The sequence below is a fragment of the Homo sapiens genome, chromosome 16 (genome assembly GCF_000001405.40).
Source record: "Homo sapiens chromosome 16, GRCh38.p14 Primary Assembly".
Classification (NCBI taxonomy): domain Eukaryota; kingdom Metazoa; phylum Chordata; class Mammalia; order Primates; family Hominidae; genus Homo; species Homo sapiens.
The window spans coordinates 1100640-1113889 of record NC_000016.10 but is presented as its reverse complement, the minus strand read 5'-3'; the positions used below and the strand labels follow the sequence as shown (position 1 = coordinate 1113889).

Here is a 13250-nt window from a genome sequence, read left to right as displayed (position 1 = left end):
TGAGGCTGGTGAGTGGGGTGAGGGTAGTGGGTGGGGCTGAGGTTATTCCAGCCTCGGGCACTGGATCTTCTCGGGGTGGGGGGGTTTGTGAGCGCTGACCCCCTGGGCTGTCTCCACCTTGTCCTGGGGCTGGGTCCCCGGACGACGCGGCCACAGCTCCTGGGAGAGTGGCCAGCCCTCGGACAGCTGTGAGCCCCCACGGGGGTGTCTGGGTTCGAGGCCACGTTGCAGACCCGCTGGCTGCTGGGGCTCAGGGAGGAAATGACCTGGCCTCCTGGAGCTTCAGATTCCTCATCTGTGTGCTGAGGGAAGGGGCACATCTCGGAGCCTGGGGACTCCCGGCGTGTGGGCTGCTTGCCTGGCACCCGCTCACCCAGGAGTTGTCCTTGCTGTGGGCTCTGAGCCTCCGGGATGGAGTGGGGCTGAGAGCGTGTCCACCACCTCCACCACATCAGCCTGTCCCTGGTCCTGCTCCGCCAGATGACAAATCTCTGGGAAATCTTCTTTAATTTTGTTCTCTGGGAAGTGGTAGGTTTTGGAGATAAAGCTGAGTTGATACATTGGGGATTTGACCATTCTCCCAGAAACTCCTCAACCAGGAAGGAGGTGGTGGGCCCTGGACACTTCAAGTCGGGCAGGCCGGGCTTCAGAGCCCCCAAAACAGTGCACTGCCTCCTCACCTGCCATGAGGGCCGGTGTCCCCTAGCCGGCCTGGAGAGCATCTGCCACTATGGCTGGGACATATGGTCTCCCGGCCACCAGCAGCACCATGGAAGGGAAAGTGAGATGCTCGTACGGGGACTGGGACCCCACGGGCACCCCGGCCCCGTCAGAAGGCAGGTCCAAGGCACAGCATGTGCTTGCAGGGCTGGACGGCATGGGGTGATGGCTGAGGCTCAGCCACCCTGGACCCCCTTCCCGAGGCCTCTCCAGGCCACTCCCCAAGGATGGTGCGTCCCTGCCCTTCTAGGAGGCTCCACCCTGGTGCGACCCACTCATCAACACGCACCTCTGCGGCGTCCTCCTCCTGTACCCCGGGGTCTCTGGGCACAGGCCGGTGGAGTGGAGCTGTATGTCTCAGCCAGCTCGGGGAGACGTAACAAGAATCACACCCTGGGCAGCTCCAGCATTCTCTGCAGGTTCTAGAGGCTGCGGGTCTAAGATCAAGGTCCGGCCAATTGTGTTTGCGTCTCCTCCCTCCTGACCTCATCTAACCCTCATCACCCCTGAGGCCCCACCTCCACGTCCCCTCACACTGGGGTTAGGGCTGAAACAGATGCATCTGAGGGATGCAGCTCAGTCCACAGCGTGGGACCGGCCTCCACTCGGAGGCACAGACCCTCTTTCACACCTGGGACAGCCTCGTCTGTGGCTCAGGACATGCTGGCTGACGCCAGGGTCCGCGGACGGCCCGCGGGAGGGAGTTCTCTCCTGACCTGCTCGTGGCGCCGCGTTTGTCTCCTCAGCAGTGGTTTGCATTCAGCCCGGCCTCCCTGACCCGAGCTGCTCCCACTGTGGCCGGGTGGGCGGTGGGCACCTGGGGCCTGCCGGGGGTGACACTGTCCCAGGAATCCCCCACCAGCTTGGAGTGTCTCTGATGAAGACCCAGGCGGGGCCTCCGCTGGTGCTGCTCCCTCCCCAGGACGACCGAGCCTTTCCCAACTGCCAGGCCTCTGGCCAGCTTCTGGGGGTCCATTCCAGGCCCAGCCTCTCTGCTGCTGGATGCCGGCAGCCTCTGGCTGTCTCGGGCATCGGCTGCAACGGTGTCCCTCCTGTCGCTGCATCCTGACAAGCAGCTGCTTGAACTCCTCCAGGGTCGGAGGGCTCACTCCCTGCGGGATGCACAGCCTTCAGCCCATCGCTGTGTAACTAGAGTGCCTGGTGGCCGCATACCCCACCTCCTGGCACAAGCCGTGCCTCCCGTAGGCCTCTCTGCTCTTGGGGTCTAGACCTCCCTGGGACTGCGCCTGACCCGTGGGGGGACACACAGCCTCTTTCCACTGTTTTCCAATGATAATTTCACTGCGATGTAGCTTGGTACAAATGCCTTTTTCCTTGTATTTAAAAAGCTTCCCCCTCATTTGCAGTCATTTCCTAGGGCTGTGTTCAAAGGCTAGAGTTGCCCACTCAGGTGTGGGAACGGGTTACGTCTCTGGAGCGCGCACTACAGTTTTTTCTAGAAAGCAGGACCGGCCGGGCACGGTGGCTCATGCCTGTCATCCCAGCACTTTGTAAGGCCAAGGTGGGTGGATCATGAGGTCAGGAGTCCAAGACCAACCTGGCCAAGATGGTGAAACCCCGTCTCTACTAAAAATACAAAAGAATTAGCCAGGTGTGGTGGTGGGTGCCTGTAATCTCAGCTACTCAGGAGACTGAAACAGAGAATTGCTTGAACCTGGGAGGTGGAGGCTGAAGTGAGCCGAGATCATGTCACTGCACTCCAGCCTGGGTGACAGAGCAAGACTCCGTCTCAAAAAAAAAAAAAAAGACACCAGGAAGGCGGAGCTTGCCCTCTCACGTTGCCAGGGGTCCATTCCCATGTTTTGAAAGTCACGGTCTTTAAGGCTTTTCAGGTGGGTTTTAGCAGGATTTTAAAAATAATTGGCCCAGTGTAGTGGCTCACGACTGTAATCCCAGAACTTCAGGAGGCCAAGGTGGGTGGATCTCTTGAGCTCAGAAGTCTGAGACCACCCTGGGCAACCCTGTCTCTGCAAAATATATAAAAATTAGCTGAGTGCGGTGGCAGGTGCCTGTAGTTCCAGCTACTTGGGAGGCTGAGATGGGAGACTCGCCTGAGACTATGAGTTTGAGGCTGCAGTGAGCCGCCATTGCACCAGTGTGCTCCAGCCTGGGCCACAGAGTGAGACCCTGTCTCAAAAAAATAATAATGATATACCCAAATGGGTTGAAAACGGGTCTTCAGACAAAAACGTGCACAGACATGATTACCAGAGTGCAGCTCACAGTCTCCACAGTGCAAACACAACTCAGCCAGGAGAGGGGACCGGCCTCAAGTCACCACATCAGGGCGGAGCGGGACACAGAGGACCACATGCTTGAGACTCCTCTTCCACACTGTGCTCAGAGCAGTGAGTTGCGGTTCCCAGCATCTGGGGAGATGGGAGTAACCACGCATGGGCTGAGGGCTTCCTTTTGGGGATGGCAACGAAAGATTCTGGAACCAGATGGCAGCGATGGTTGCACAGTGCTACGAATGTGCCAGACGCCACCACACTGCACGCTTTACGGCAGTTAAAACGGTGAGGTTTCTGTTACGTGATTTACACCAGAATAAAACCATAGCGGTGGCCGCGAGCGGGGGCTCACGCCTGGAATCCCAGCATTCTGGGAGGCTGAACGGGTGGATCATGAGATCCGGAGATCGAGACTAGCCTGGCCAACATGGTGAAACCCTGTCTCTACTAAAAATACAAAAATTAGCCAGGCGTGATGGTGGGCGCCTATAGTCCCAGCTTCTCAGGAGGCCGAGGCAGGAGAATTGTTTGAACCCAGGAAGCGGAGATTGAAGTGAGCTGAGATCACACCACTACACTCCAGCCTGGGCGACAGCACAAGACTCCATCTCAGAAAAAAACAAAACCAAAAAACAAAAAAACAGTGATGATAGTGACGATGATAACAAATGCTTCTCAGGCACCTGCCGCCTGTCGGGCACTGTTCTGTGTCTACCTTCACTCCCAGGCCATGCCCTCACTGTCACTGACTTATGGATGGAAGGCCCAGGCACTGCAGGCAGCTGGCACAGCTGAGGTAGGAAAGTCAAGCTTCCCTGCGTGCTGGCGGGTGGGCGTGGGCTGCAGCAGAACCTGCCTGGGCCTCAGCCCCCTGCCCCTGTTCCCCTGCCCTTTCCTCTCTGTCCCACTCCGTTCCACCAGGCAGAAGTTTCTTCGTGAAGTCACTTTCATATCTATGAGACCATCCATCTTGCTTCCAACGATTCCTCCAATCCCTTCAACACTCAGACATTTATCTTCCCGCTGCAGTCGGGATCTGCAGTCAGGATCAGCGTGTGATCTCATCTCACCCTGGAGTTTTATGGCTCCCTCTGAACGTGGTTTAACTCGGCCGTATCTGGAAGGCCGGTTCCGGGTGGGTGGTGAAGGTGAATGGGACGGCGTCGGGCTTGTCCCCGCGGCCTGGGACTTCCCCAGGTAGGGAGCCAGCATAGCCCCGGGGGGACCTCGGATGGGGAGCCTGTGGGACCGTCACCCTACCTGGCCCTGCGTGCCCAGCCTCCTCTCCCTCCACCAAGCACGCCCAGGACTTTCCCTGGAGGAAACTGCACACCTTCCTGCTTCACCCGCAAACACCCAGGAGGGAGGAACTGTCCTGGTCTCCATTCTGCAGCGGGCAGCTCAGGGCACAGTCTGTGACAGCTCTGGGCCCTGCATGCAGCCTCAGAGGCTGGGGTCTGGACCCCGCCCATACCATGGACCTCAGAGACTCCACTTAGCAGCTCCAGACCACGGTGGGTGGGGGCGTCTTGGGTGCTGGGCCAGGATGCCAACTGCTGTTGAAGGCCAGCAAAGGGCCCTGAGTCCTGGAGAGGCACACAGCTGCCTGCACCGCCCCCCAGCCCCCGGCCTTCAGGCAGGTAAACTGAGTCACACGTGCAGTGTCAGAGCCTTGCCTCCCTAGGCCAAGGGTAGACGGAAAAGCGTCCGTGGTCGTGGGTCCCCAGCTCTGCCCACTGCCTGGGAGGACAGGATGAGAGCTGAGCAGGAGTGAGCCGTCAGCCTCTGTCGGCCGCCCCGCCCTCCGCCCAGTTTGCCAAGCGCAGAGAACTGGGCTCGGTGCCCACCTCGACAGCAGGCCAGGACTTCGAGCTGCAGCCTCACTGCCTGCCCGCCTGACCACACTCACATCCTCACCTCCTCGTCCATGCCCCTGTGTCCCTGTCTCTGTGGGGCCCCACACTTCCCAAGGGAAGGTGAGTTTCAGCTGTCTGGGGCCGCCAGGGAGACGCCGCCTCTACAGTCCCTCACCCCCTCCCACAGCCTCGGGGGGCCGTGTTCATGGAGGCTCAGCCTGGCCGACTCTTCCTCCAAGAAGTCCTCCGGAGCCTCCTCCCAGAGCCTGCCCTCTCAGCCTCTTGTCCATGTGCTGGGCTGTTGGTGTCCCTCATCTTCCCCCTAGCCCTCCCGCCCAGGGCACTGCCACCCTGTGCACCCAGTCCTCTTGCTCTGCCGTGACCGGCCCCTACTCACCCCCGGGGGAAGCCTCAGGGCTGCCTGAGGTGCCTCAAATCCCCGTCATTAAAATGTTCCGTTGGCCCCGGGAGAAAGCGCAGGACCAGGCCACCTGTTGAGCCGGCAAGGGCACCTGCTCTGAGGCCGGGAGGGCTCCTCGAGCTGTCATTCCAGGCGGGAGCGAGCGAGGGGGTGTGGCCGGGGGTCGGAGGAAGCCAGATGGTCTGAGTCTCTGCTCTCCCTTCCCCCATGGAATCCCGGTGACCTTGGCTCATCTAGGCTGCTTTGGGTGTGCTTGGCGGTGGCTGGAGGGGCGAGGCTGCACAGAAGTGATGGGCGCCCACCTCCCCACTGGCCACTCTGAGGAAGGGGCCTCAGGCCACTGAGGTGGGCGAGGCTGGACCCAGCAGGAGGGGCTTCTCACCGGGCCCGCCCTATTCATGCTGCCTGGCATGGGTCCTGGGGGAGGCGATGCGGTGTGGGTCACAGCCATTCCAGGGTGACCACTGCACCAGCCCTGTGTGGGAAGGCCCAGGGCGGCCACACCATCTCCAGGGAGGAGCCTGAGGCCCCAGGCTGGGCCAGGGTCACTGCCCCGCAAATCAGGATGGGGTTCAGGGGCCTCCCAGGGGCCACCCCATGTCCAAGGTGTCTTCTGTGGCCTCCAGCTCGTCCGCCAGCCCAGCCCCAACCGTCCCTGTCACAGGGACGCTAGTCACACAACTGTCCCGCCTCCTGGGCTGGCGACTGCCCGGGTGGCCTCGGCCCTGCCCTCCCCACCTCTGGTACCCAACCAAGGTGCTCTAATGGACACCGTGACCCTGGGGTCTGTGAGGTGGAGGGTCCCACTCTCTGGCTGGTGGACCAGAGAGGTGAGTGTTGGGGGCTGCCCTGAGGTGGGGGCACCCGTTCCTGGGGCTGTCCTGGCCCCGGCCCTGTGTCTGCCCAAGGGGATGTGTGCAGAGGCCCACGAGGTGGGGCGGGGGACTGTGGGGGGCTTCGGCCACTCTCTGTCCTTCCCTCAGGCCGTGCCCCCCAGGCCGGTGCTGCCCCACTCCCAGCAGGTAGGGAAACGGTCTGGGAGGGGCCGCCTGCCTGGCCACACAGTGGACACAGCGGGCGGCTCTGACCCAGGAGCTCTTCCTGGGGTGTCTTCACCCCCTGAGCCGGCTGAGGGCTGCGGGGCTCTGTGGCTGCAGGGGTCAAGGGCCCAGCCCCCTGTCTCAGACAGGCACTCAGTCAAGTCCTGTCCGTCAGCCTGCAGGGCCGACTGCGGTCACGGGTGAGTCTGTGTCCCGTCAGCCTGGGAGCTCGATGCGGCAGTGCCCCCGCCGCACCCCAGGGCACCTGGAGGCAGAGGCTGAGAGGTCGCAGAGCCCAGAATTCGCCTCCTCGGCCCGGGTGGTCCCACTGGTTCCCCGGGTCTGCAGGTCAGGGGACAAACACGGGCAGTTCCGCTCGGCTCAGCCCACAGGGAGGTGCCAAGTGAAAGCAGGTTCAAGACAAAATGTGGAGCTGGGCGCCCCCCCCCGCCACCGTGTGGCTCGAGCCTGCAGCCATCTGGGGAAACCGAGTCACAGCGAGGCTCCAGGACGGTCCTCAGGCCACATCAGTCCCGGAAGGTTCCCTGACATCCCACCTTTGAAGGGCGGTGAGAAGAGGCCCAGGCCACTGCCGCCGGTTCTGGGTCAGCCTGCAGTCCTGGCACTGCTGTCCCCAAAGCCCACATTTCATGAGGAGCCTCCAGTGTGCCCGGGAGTGCGGCGCACGCCTCCACGTCCGCCATCGGGAGGCTGTCAGGCCGGGCTCACCGTGGTCATAGCAGTGTGTGAGTGGGGATCCGGCCACCCATCAGTCAGGGCCAGGGGTCAGAGGTCAGTCAGGGCTGGGAGAAGGCATGGCAGGGATGCAGTGGGGGCATGGGCAGGGGGAGGGCACGGCGGGGCCACAGTGGGGGCATGGGCGGGGATGCCAGAGGAAGATGGCCAGGGAGGGAGGTGGCCCAGGAAAAGCCTGGGCTCCTGTGGCCGGAGCAAGGATTGGAGGTGGAGGTGGAGGGGGTGGGGGTGGGGACCCAGGGGCCTGTGCTGGGGAGGACCTGGGCCTGGGGTGGGGGGTCCCCAGAACAGGATGGGCCAGGCTGGCTGAGCGGAGCCTGGGAGCCGCTGGCATCTCGCGGCCAACACCACACTCTGCTGGCCACAGGGGGCATCGCGCCTGGGCTGGGACTCCCCTGGCCCAGGACGGGGTCACGTGGTGCGCGGGGCACTCCTTGCCCATCCAGACTCTGCCAGGCAGCTTGGCCCAGGGGTTGGGGGGCCATGGGGGCGGCCTCCACAGCACAGGACTGGGGGGGACCCTGGCTGGGACACGGAAGGAGGAGGGAAGCGGGTGCCCAGCTCTCGGGTAGCGGTCCCAGGAGCCGAGTGGGCAGAGTCTCCACAGGAACTGCCTCAGTCTTGGGTCCCCTGGGACTGTGCGTGGGGCTCAGGCTGCCCCTCAGGGCCTGGCCTGGGGGTCCTGGTGTGGTATCAGGCTGGTGTTGGGGCCCCGGGGGACAGGGAGGGAAGCCACTCGCGGGGTGGCAGATACTGGGAATCACCGTCACTGTCAGGGGTCCCAACACCCACCCGAGGCCCCCCACGGCCCCAGCCTTCTGCCCCGCGGGGACTGCAGGTGGGCAGAGCCTTCCGTTCACACTGTCTGGAGCTCAGCATGGAAAGGGATCAGAGAACAAAACAGGAACAGCAGGGGGTAAACCAAGGAAGGGGCACAGGTGTCAGGGCAGCAGGCCACCTCCCACCCACGGCCTGTCCCCCAAGCATGGAACACAGAAGCCGGGCACCGGCCAGCCCCAGGATCCTCTAGGTGACAGGAACCTTTGGCCACTGCTGCTTGGGCCATGGCGGGGACAGGGGTCGTAGGGCTGGGCCTGCCTGGTCCTTTAAGAGGGACCCCCACCCCCAGCAGCCCATACCCCCTGCCTCTGGGGGGCAGCTCTGCCCACCCTGAATGCCGCCTCTCTCAGCCACTTCGGGGGGATCCCTGGTGCCCAGTAATGGAGGCCGTCGGTGTGTACCAGGCAACTGGGAGCCGCATCCTGCTCTGGGACTGAGTGGCTGGAGCTTCCCCACTGACCTGGCTGGGCTGACCCCACCCCTCACTCCCCCGGCCCTGGTGGACACCATGGCACAGATGGACACGCTCCTGACCAAGCAGCCGGCCCCACAGACCATTCCAGTTGTCCCCCAAAGCTGTGCGACGTGGCCTGAAACACAGGTGCCTGCACGTCCTCCAGCCTGGCCACCGCTGGCTCCCAGTGGCCTAGCACCTGCTGGACAAGTGGCTCCAGAACCATGACGCCGGCCACCATCACCTTCGAACCGTTGGCATAGCAGCAGCATGAGAGCCAGCAGTGGGCAGCGGAGACCGAGGCCGCGGCACAGTGCACACAAAGGGACTCCACACACACAGGGTGGGCGGCAGCCGTAGGACACGCGCGGCTGGAAGTTGGAGCCTGAGTGGGAGGTGGTAGCACCGCCGCTGAGACCCGCCTGCTGCTGGCCCCGGAGCCGCAGCTGTGTCATGCCTCGGACACCATGACCGTGCCCTTCTCCATCGCCACCAACAACCTGCAGTACCACGAGCAATGCTGGCACCCTTACCTCGTGGGCGACTACGTGGAGACGGAGCTGCTGAAAGTGCTGCGGCCTCGGGGTGGCCAGGACGTGCAGCCACGGAGAGGAGCAGCCTGGCCGTTCATGTGGACAAGCTACGTGGCTGCTACAGGCACACAAGACCCTTGAGTCCCGAAATCTGGCCCCTTAACCACAGAAGCTGGTTTTGCCCCAAGGGGCACCTGGCTTGCAAGCAGCTGTGTCTCCTCTGGGCCCCTCCCCTCCTCCTGCCCCCTTGAGTCCAGGCACATTCAGCCCTGAGCTCCCGGGGCTGAGCCACAGGGCACCTCCCCAAAGGCATCTCTTGCTGGGACAACTGCTCCCGAGCTGGGAACCCAGGTCAGTGCTGCAGGTGTGGACAGGAAGAGTGCGCTGGGGGCCACTGGTACCCATTCATCCTGTATGGAGCCCTGACCTCAAAGATTTGCACCCCCAGTGCCCTCTCCTCCGAACGCTCTGTCCCTTCCGAATCCAGCACGACCTGTCCGTGAAGCAGCCCCGTAGGGTGAGGGGGTTACCAATCCTGGCCCCAGTGCTCGCTCTGGAGAATTCTGCCACCTCTCAGAGCCTGGGGCCTCCCTGTGAACGCACTGTTAGGTCTATGAGCAAAATATGTGGGTGGGGGCAGCTGGTGCAGGAGCCTCAGGGTTCCCTTGCTGCACCCCCGAGCTCAGGACCTCGCATCCCTCCTTCCTCCCCAGGCCTTCCCTTCCCCTTTCCTTCCCCTCCCCAGGCCCCTCCTCTGCACCCCCTCAGTGGTTCAAGAACTCCTGTGGTTCCCGTGCTAACCCCTCCGCCCTGAGCCCAGAGACCCCGGGCCCAGCCCTCGCTCGCCCTGCCTGCCCAGTGCAGGAACAGGGAGGTGAACCACGGGGAACGGCAGGTATGACCCCCAAAGCCTGGGGCGTGGGAACTACCATGAGGGGACCCTCCCAGCAGCCCGGAGAGGCCCCTGGAGGAAAGCACCCCACTTCCAACCCACCAAGAACATCCAAAAGCCCGGAATAAACCGAGGAGGGAGCTGGGCTTGTGTGCCACTTTCCAGGGGAAAGGCCTGAGGGCGAACAAGTGGGGCCTGGCCCGGACACCCAGCCAGGACTCAGGCCCCACACTCTGCTCCTCCCGAGTAAGCTAGTGCTGACCAAGGCCTGCAGCCTCCGGGCCTCCTGGGACCCTTGGCAGGTTCCGGGGTCTGGGGCTCAGGGGCGCCTCCTCATCCAGGAAGCTGAGCTCATCGGGAGCATTCCGGAGCTGCTGGAAAGGCCCACCGTGCAAGCCGGAAACAGATCCAGAGGGTCCTGCAACCTGAGGGCTGCCCAGGGGATGGCCCCTGACCCTCACCCCCGGCTGGCCCTGAGGCAGGACATGGACAACAGCTGGGGCTGCCCCAGGTCACAGCAGAGCGAAGGGCTGGGTGGCGCAGGTTCCGAAGGCCCAGCCTGGGGGCCTGAGGGGCTAGAGACCAGCCCCGCCCCTGACCTGCAGCCTCCCAGCCTGGCCGTGCTCCCGGGCTCTGCTAACAGGGGCCTCCCGGGACAGGCTCGGAGCTGCCTCCTGAAGCAGGACTCGGGTCCAGCCCGCGGTGGGGAGGGGACCCCACCACTGCCCCCCAACGCCAGGCTGAGCCTGCACAAGAAGACCTGAAGTCGGGGCTGGTCGGACAATGTGGCGCCCACAGCATGGAGGAGCTCTGCGCGCTCCCAGCCAGAGCACGAGGCGCAGGGCCCCCGTCCACCGCCTGCCAGGAGAGGTGGCCCCCGCCTGCCTGCCCCGCCCCGGCCCTGGCTGTGGTCTCACCTTACCCGCCGGGCGTGCTCCGCGAAACGGCTTTCCCCGGCCCAGCCGGAGGCCATGGACCACGAGGCCACCCGTGCAGCTGTCTGCCCGGGGATGGGAGAGCGAGCCAGACCCCAAGCACCCAGCGCGCACCCAGCTCACCCGCGGGGCTGCCCGGAGCAGGACGGGGCGGGGCGGGGTCAGTCCCAGGCAACGGCGAGACCGCATTTCCGCGCGCGGCCGGCAGAGGGCGAGCGCCCACCGCCCACGGCAGCGTCGCCAACTCGGGGCCGGGGAGGGAGCCGGGAGGGGGGCCGGGGGGGGGGGTGCGGAGACTAGGAGGGCCTGTAGGGGGGCGGCAGGGGCTGGGGGAGGGCGTCTGGGGGGCGGTGAGTGCTGCGGGGGTCTGTGGAGGGAGGTGGGGGCTGTGGGAGGTGAGGGGGGCTGGGGGAGGGCGTCTGGGGGGCGGTGAGTGCTGCGGGGGTCTGTGGAGGGAGGTGGGGGCTGTGGGAGGTGAGGGGGGCTGCGGGAAGGCGGGGCGCTGGGGGCGGCTGCAGCGTGGGGACCGTGGGGGGTTTGGATACCACAGGGAGGCAGGGCATGAGGGCGCAAGGGTGGGCGGTGGGGGGCTGTGGGAGGCAAAGGACCACCGGGGCCACGGAGTCAAGGAAGGCACAAGGGGTGCGTGGGTCTGCGAGGGGCGCAGGGCGGGGTCGTGGGCGGGACGCGGGGTTTCGAGGCCTGGGGGTGCCGGGGGCCAGGAGCCAGCTTCTGGCAGGAGGACCTGGGCGGTGCCGTGACTGCGTCCTGTGCGACAGTGTCTGGGCCTGCGGCTTCACCTAGAGGTCATGTGGCACCAGGTGCAGCATTGCCTGCTCCAGGTGGGGCGCCCTAAACTCCCAGACCCCTGAGGCCGGCCGCCACTCTGCCCCCTCACAACCTGGCCTGAGCCCCCAGCACCTCCCGTCCCCTGGCTGCCCACCCCGAGGGACTCCAGAAGCAGAGGCCCCACCTCTCTGGGCTCCCCTTCCAAGGATGTGAAACCAGGTGACATTGGGCATGGCTGGCAGGTGTTCCACCCTCGACTGAGCAGCTGGGCATGGGGTGTGGGGGAGGATGGGGCAGGAGGAGGTTTAGGGAGCATGGGCCACCCACCGTGGTTGTCCCCAGCCATCCTGGCCCAGCCACAGGGCTCTGACTAGGGTCTCAGCGTGGCCTCGGCTGCCTGAGTCCCCTGAGTCCTTGAGCAGGGCTGGGGTCTTGGGGGCTGGGGGCTCTGGGGCTGGAGCTTGGGGGGCAACAGGCTGTGCTGACTCTCCGGACCCCTCTGGGTGCCCCGGGAAGGCTGGGTGGCCATGAACGACGGTCCTTCATCTGCACCTCCCCTGGGCCCTGGACAGAGCCGCCCTCGACACAGCCCCAGGGGCTGGGTGCCTCTGGCTGGGGTTCCGGTGACCGAGCTGGTGAAGGAGAACAGCGCTGGCCTGGCCCGGCCCACACACCGGGGCACGGGGACGCCAGCACCCTGCTTGCCCCAGGTGTAGGCCCACAGGCACTGTGCTGCCTGCAGACGCTGCGGAAAATCACAGACCGGGGCTTTTTTTGGTGGACTTCCCTTAGGGATCCTTCACGGGGTCTTGCCAGGACCTCCTGCTGCCCCAGTCCCAGCCTGTGAGCCTTGGGTCCTGTCCCTCCCAGACTGGAAGGTGCCTGCTGCTCCCTTCTGCAGCCCCACTCATGCCCCGCACCCTCAGGCTGGGGAATGAGGTGGAGGGGCTGCATGCGTCCCTGGTGGTGCTGCGGGAGAAGCTTCTAGAAGTGGAGCAGTCGCTGGGCAACCTGGAGTACGTGCAGGAGCCTGGAGAAAAACATCGCCGTCAAGACCAACAGCCTCTATGTCGACCGCCAGGCGTGCATGGCCACCACGCCGCTACCCCACGGTCCTGCAGCTGCGCCTGGCTGCCAGTGAGTATCTGGCACCGTGCAGGCGCCGTCCTGCGTTTTCTGTCCCGTCTCCCAAATAAAGAGCACGTTAGCTTTCCACACGGGGCGTGTGCGCCAGGGCGGGGCTTCCCCTCACTGTCCGTCTGGGCTGGAGTCTCAGTCCCCCGTGTGGCAGCTCTACCCACGGACTCATCCGTGGGATGACAGGGTTGGTGTCAGAGCCCAGGAGCAGGAGCCCCCGGGCCTCAGAGGGCAGGACAAGAGCAGGTGAGGGCTGGGGCTCCACAGCACAGCCCAGCCACGGATGGCGTGTCCAGCCCAGAGCCTGGCCATCCGGCTCCGCTCCCTGCTCGCCTCCCCGCTCCCCCACCAGTGCTGGCTCCTCCGTCCTTTCGCCAGAGTCTTGGGGCCTTGGGACATCCTTTGGGACCCCTGCACCTCCCCGCCCCCTCCCCCCGCACCTCCCCGCCCCCTCCCCCCGCGCCTCCCCACCTCCTCCCCCTGCACCTCTAGGCCCCCAGCCTCAACTTCATATCCTTTGAGACTGGGCACTCGCTCTGCCCGGAGCTCCTCCCACTGCTGGTGCACCAGCTGGGAGGATCCTCCAGGTGGGTCCCACCCAGACTGCCCCCTTCCGCAGCCC

The 13250-nt window shown here is 64.7% G+C and overlaps 1 long non-coding RNA gene across 2 annotated transcripts, besides 2 other annotated features; it reads right to left on the bottom strand.

Annotated features, from left to right (window-relative positions):
• Window positions 1-490: 490 nt before the first annotated feature.
• Window positions 491-6253, bottom strand: LOC107984906 (uncharacterized). Of its 2 annotated transcripts, XR_001752051.2 has the most exons (3): window positions 1437-2242; window positions 1010-1157; window positions 491-518 (listed from the first exon to the last, which is right to left on the bottom strand). It is a non-coding gene; the product is annotated as an uncharacterized LOC107984906 (long non-coding RNA). The 2 variants fall into 2 exon arrangements; XR_007064936.1 differs by having other exon boundaries at window positions 1010-6253.
• Window positions 5402-5920: an enhancer, noted in NCBI's record as "H3K4me1 hESC enhancer chr16:1157970-1158488 (GRCh37/hg19 assembly coordinates)". NCBI's record gives its function as "activates a minimal SCP1, AML or CMV promoter by ChIP-STARR-seq in naive H9 embryonic stem cells {active_cell/tissue: H9 hESC(naive)}" and the evidence as "EXISTENCE:reporter gene assay evidence [ECO:0000049][PMID:30033119]".
• Window positions 10772-10991: a silencer, noted in NCBI's record as "silent region_6964". NCBI's record gives its function as "represses an Ori minimal core promoter by ATAC-STARR-seq in GM12878 lymphoblastoid cells {active_cell/tissue: GM12878}" and the evidence as "EXISTENCE:reporter gene assay evidence [ECO:0000049][PMID:35858748]".